Raw genomic sequence first — 6000 nt, forward strand, 5'->3', positions numbered from 1 at the left:
ATATTCCAAATAAGTGATATGGAAATAAATAAATCTCTTGTTAAGAAATAAATGGGATCTAAAATCAAGTGAAAAACTATATAACCTTCACCCTAAGCCATAGGATTATATATGTCCTCTATAGCAGAGAACTTTTAAACACAAAAATTGAAATTAATTATAAGATAATTATGAGATTCAGAAATTGAAGCAAGTACAATAATTTTTTTATTTTTCTTATTGATAACTTCATTTTACAAAAGCAGTACAAATTAGAGAGTTCTAGGTACATACTAAAAATTAATACACATTTGAAAATCATACATAAATATAATCATATATAATATCTCATAAGTTCATTGCAATACTTTCATTTTGAGCAATGTTTGGCTTGATAATTTGTAAAGAATTATGGCTTTTTAATTTTAATAGCTAATTATAACTAATAATAATTGTAGCTTCTAGCCATTTAGAATTCAATGGAACCAGTCACTGCACTAATTACTGACAGTATCTTCCTTCATCCTCATAACAACTCTTTGAGATATATATTATTATTTGTTATCTCTGGAGCAAAACAGCTTAAATAACTTTCTCAGTATCCTACAACTGGCAGAACCAGGCAACTAAGGGAGGCTATATAACCCCAAACTTGTGTTCTGAACCCCTGAAATAAAATCCTCCTGTAGTCATGTGAACTGTGGCATCAAAACTTTTATGTTAAAGGAAGTCCTTAACACCTCAGTTTAGGATTAAGAAGACTACGGCTCAATCTAATTCTAATTATTCCCCAATGTGTCACTGACTGCTTCCCAGAAAAGAAACCAGTTATCTTCTTTCTCCCTCTGCAACAACCACCATGACATTTCATCTCAGGGGCCTTGCTTCTCTTATGTATTTCAGGAGTGAGATCCAGGGACTCGGGATTTAAGGGGTATCAGGAAAAGGAATTTGATTGTAGGGAGAAAAGTATTACTTCCATGCCAGCTTGACAACCACACCCCTAAAAGCCCTGCCAACCTCCATGTTCTCTTTTTTTATTTTCTTAAGGAGATATTCAAAATATGTTCATGCCAATGCAATGACACTATATCTTACTTTCCTCTTATTGAAAAGGTCAAGGAATTTGGCTCTTAGAAAAGGAAGTAATGGTAGGCAAATTCCAAATATAGACACTTCTAACTGATTTGGGCAGAAAGGACATTCCACGTTGATTGAGCACTCAGCTACAGAATCATTATTAGCCAGCTTTCCATGATTAGCAGTGTCAGAGAATTGAAATTAATGTAAATATGATATTTTCACTTTAAAAGGATGACCACAGAGTTTTAATCTTGTCTATTAGCATGAACAATTTATCCTTAATATGCCACATATATTAGTAATTGAAAATTACATGATTTAATTTGCTCTCAGGCAGCATTTGTAGGGTGGCTAATTTAATCATTAATATATAATTAAAAGTAAAATCTCACAAATAAAGGAAGATCATCAAACATCCTTTATACACTGCAGTAGATATGACAGATGATTGGTTTAAAAGAGAAACAATAATCTTTGCCATGATCTTTTGCAATGGAATCTTGTAAGCTTTTCCCTTTAGGAGGCATTCATATCTTCTCCCCATGTTTCTTTACTGGAGTTATGACTTCTTCAACCAGTAAAATGTGGCAAAAATGATAGTGTACCAATTTCAGGTCCACTTCTCAAAAGTCCTAGTAGCTTTCACTTTTCCTCGTGGGATCCAACCTATACCCCACACACCCCTGCAACTGATAGGCAGGCAATGCCTGCTAGAGCTACTAGCCCAGCAGTCTTGCCTCTGTGTGAACTCAGCTGGAGAGTGCAGCTTCCTAATGTCCTGCTTGAGCATGCCCCCACCACTGGTAGCCAGGTGGGCAACATTTGCTAGAGCTTCTGACCCAGCAGCCACAATTCTATGTGAACTCAGCTGGAGGGCACAGCCTCCTGATATTCCAGGAAACATTTGATCAGCAAGGCACATGACTCTACCACCCCCACCACCAATAGTCAGGTGGGCAACACCTGCTAGAATGTCCAGCCCAGAAGCCCTACATCTGCTTCAATCTGCCAAGGGGCACAGGCTCCTTTTTCGCTAGAAATATCCAAATAGCAGTGCTGACAATCCCACCCACTCCCACCTTCCATAGCCAGATAGGTCACATCCACTAGAGTTTCCAGGCAAATCATCCCACTTCAGCCTGAACTCTGCTGGCAGATGCAACCTCATCTTTCCCCAGAAAGTACATGAATAGAAGATTAAGGCCAGCTTGACAAGGAAACAGCTTGTCGGCCAACTGCAGCCCCGGCCTGAACAAGCCCCATGCACCAGAATACCCAACAAAAAAAGTGCAGACACTAGACAGTAATTGGAGGGGGCTCCTCCAAGACCCAGGAAAAATCTAGAATTGAAGACAGTCAACCAAACCCACCTTATACCATAATCAAATTCCCAAGGGCATCAACGAAGAAAAAGGTAAAACAATCCACCCAAAGGACACCAACTTCAAAGACTGAAAAAACATCAGAATACACAAATGAGAAAACCAGCACAAGAACTCTTGGCAACTCAGAAAGTCAGGGTGCCTTGTTTTCTCTAAATGATCATACTAGTTCTCCAGCAAAAGGTCTTGACCAGGCTGAGATAGCTGATGACAGAAATAGATTCAGAAAATGGATAGGGGAAAAGAAGCGGCTTGCCACTGCAAACTCCCTGAGAAAGACGAAAAACTGCGGGTGCTCAAAATGTAAGGGAGGAAAGTCTTTCTCCAAACATACATCCTCACTGGGGAACCTGAAAATCCAGATCATGGGAGAAGGATTTAACCTTACCTAGACCTGAAATGAATTTAAAGAGCCAAGCAAAATATAAAAGTAGAGGCAGCAGAAAGAGCCTTGTAGGCACTCTTGTTCCCCAAGGAAGCCATTTCTGACTTTATCTCACAGGGGCCCTTGGGGAGGGCTGCCACTGAAATTGAGAGGGACAAGAGGGAGAAGGCAACTTCCAGCTGAACTTCATAACAATTTTAACTGGGTGTGAATTTTCCTGGACAGAATCTAGGGGTCAGGGAGCAAATGAGATATGCAGATACAAGCGCAGAAGCTGTGGCAGGCAGGGAGGGACAGGGCCTGAAAGCCCTTTTTGCTTTCTCAATGCGGAGGCTTGTATCCTGGTGCAAAATCTCAGCCCTGCTCACCAGCTGCCTGGATATAAAATTCAGTGCTGTTGGTGGGGCATGGTGGGAGTAAAACTGGCCTTGCTGGCTGCATGCAAGCTGGATGAGGCCTGTCACTGCTGGCCTTCCCCCACTTCCCTGGCAGCCAGTATGACACAGCAGAGACACCCATAATCCCCTAGAAACATAACTTGATTAGCTTGAGAACCACACCCCCATTCCCCACAGCAGTTGCAGCAAGCTCCGCCCAAGGAAAGTCTTGAGTTCAGACACCCCTAAACCTGCCCCTACCTGATGGTCTTTCTCTACCTCCCCTGGCAGCCAAAGACAAAAGACATAATCTCTTGGGAGCTCTATGGCTCTGCCCATTGTCTGAGAAACTCGAATACTTATCCAGGTGACCTTAAGGAAAGCTTGTATCCCCACTATACTACTGCAGCTGATGCAACTCTGGAAAGTACCACCTCCTGGTTAAAGGCAAACAAACTTAAGCCATTACAGCAACTCATAAAAGAACAACCCTACTCCAAGAAAAAAGAAAACAACAGCTAATTCCACCATCTATAACATTCTGGCTAACCAAAGGTCTTGAGTCTGTCCATGTGACAATTCCACTGCTACCACAACCAGCATTTGAGAAAAACAGCACAAAACAAAACTATGACCAAGGACCATCACAGAGTCCACCTCACTCCCCTGCTACCTCCGCTGGAGCAGGTGCTGATATCCAAGACTGAGATATCTGAAGACAGGTCACATCAAAGGACTCTTTGCAGACACTTTCCTAGTACCAGCCCAGAGATCGGTAGCTCCACTGTGTGCCTAGACCCAGAAGGGCAATAACAATCACTGTCGTCCAGCTCTCAGGAAGCACCATCACTAGCAGAAGGGGAAGAAAACCACATCAAGGGATCACCCTGTGGGACAAAAGAATCTGAATAGCTGGCCCTGTGCCCCAGATCTTTCCATTGAAACAGTGTACCCAAATGAGAAGGAAGCAGAAAAACAATTCTGGTAATATGACAAAGCAAGATTTGTTAGCACCCCCAAAAGATCACACTAGCTTACCAGCAATGGATCCAAACCAAGAAGATATCTCTGAATTGCCAGAAAAAGAATTTAAAAGGTTGATTATTAAGCTACTCAAGGAAGCACTAGAGAAACATGAAAAACAACTTAAAGAAATGTTAAAAATTATACAGGATATAGATTAAAAACCTCCCAAGAAATAGATAGCATAGATTAAAAAACCATCACAACTTCTGGAAATGAAAGACACACTTGGAGAATTGCAAAATACACTACAAAAAGTTTCAACAATAGAATCAAGCAAGTAGAGTAAGAACTTTAGAGCTTGAAGGCAAGGATTTTGAATTAACCCAACCCAACAAAGACTAAGAAAAAAGAATTTAAAAAATGAACAAAGAATATGCATTCTATTCATTACCACATGGAACAATCTTCAAGATAGACCATATGATAGGCCACAAAATAAGTCTCAATAAATTTAAGAAATTCAAAATTATATCAAGTACTCTCTCAGACTACAGTGGAATAAAATTGGAAATCAACTCTGAAAATAACCCTCGAAGCCATTCAAATACATGGAAAATAAATAACCAGATCCTGAATGATCATTGGGTCAACAATGAAATCACGATGAAAATTTAAAAATTCTCTGAACTAAACCATAATAGTGACACAACCTATCAAAACCTCTGGGACACAGAAGAAGTGGTGCTAAGAGGAAAGTTTATAGCATTAAACATCTACATCAAAAAGGCTGAAAGAGCACAAATAGACAACATAAGGTCACATCTCAAGGAACTAGAGAAACAAGAACAAACCAAATCCACACCCAGCAGAATAAAAGAAACAACAAAGATCAGAGCAGAAGTAAATGAATTAAAAAAAAAAAAAGATAAATGAAGCAAAAAGCTGGTTTAAAACTGATAGACCATTAGTGAGATTAACCAAGAAAAGAAGAGAGAAGATCCAAATAAATTCAATTAAAAATGAAACAGGAGATATTACAACCCATACCACAGGAAATAAAACAGAATATGGATAGGAACAAAGATCATTGAGATTCAGGAGAATGTTGAAACCCACTCCAAGAAACCTAAGAATCACAATAAAACAATACAGAAGCTGATAGACAAAATAGTCAGTATGGAAAAGAATGTAACCAACCTGACAGAGCTGACACACACACTACAAGAATTTTATAATGCAATTGCAATTATTAACAGAGGAATAGATCAGGAAGAGAAAAGAATCTCAGAGCTCGATGACTGGCTTTCTGAAATAAGACAGAAAAGAAAAGAATGAAACAAAAGAATGAAATGGAACAAACAAAATCTCCAAGAAATATAGGATTATATAAAGAGACAAAATTTATCAATCAGTGGCATCACGGAAGAGATGGCAAGAAAGAAAACCACTTAGGAAACATATTTCAGGATATCATCCATGAGAACTTCCTCAACCTAGCTATAGAAGCCAACATTCAAATTTAAGAAATGCAGAGGGGCCAGGTGTGGTGGCTCACACCTGTAATCCCAGTACTTTGGGAGGCCGAAGCAGGAGGATCATGTGAGGCCCAGAGTTCTAGACCAGCCTGGCCAACATGGAAAATGCAGTCTCTACTAAAAAATACAAAAAATTAGCCATGCATGATGGTGCATGTATGTAATTCCAGCTACTCAGGAGGCTGAGGCACAAGAATCACCTGAACCCAGGAGCCAAAGATTGCAGTGAGCCAAGATTATACCACTGCACTCTAGCCTGGGCAACAGGGAGAGACTCTGTCTAAAAAAAAAAA

At 39.9% G+C, this 6000-nt stretch overlaps 1 long non-coding RNA gene across 1 annotated transcript in view, besides 1 other annotated feature; it reads right to left on the bottom strand.

The window, feature by feature from the left end:
- Positions 1 to 3982, bottom strand: part of LOC105374037 (uncharacterized) — a 112561-nt gene extending 108579 nt beyond the window's left edge. Inside the window, exon 1 of the long non-coding RNA XR_924328.3 lies at positions 3880 to 3982. This is a non-coding gene — a long non-coding RNA (uncharacterized LOC105374037). The remainder of the gene's footprint in view (positions 1 to 3879) is intronic.
- Positions 3247 to 3746: an enhancer, noted in NCBI's record as "H3K27ac hESC enhancer chr3:110385405-110385904 (GRCh37/hg19 assembly coordinates)". NCBI's record gives its function as "activates a minimal SCP1, AML or CMV promoter by ChIP-STARR-seq in primed H9 embryonic stem cells {active_cell/tissue: H9 hESC(primed)}" and the evidence as "EXISTENCE:reporter gene assay evidence [ECO:0000049][PMID:30033119]".
- Positions 3983 to 6000: the final 2018 nt, after the last annotated feature.

Source organism: Homo sapiens, chromosome 3, assembly GCF_000001405.40.
Source record: "Homo sapiens chromosome 3, GRCh38.p14 Primary Assembly".
Lineage (NCBI taxonomy): Eukaryota > Metazoa > Chordata > Mammalia > Primates > Hominidae > Homo > Homo sapiens.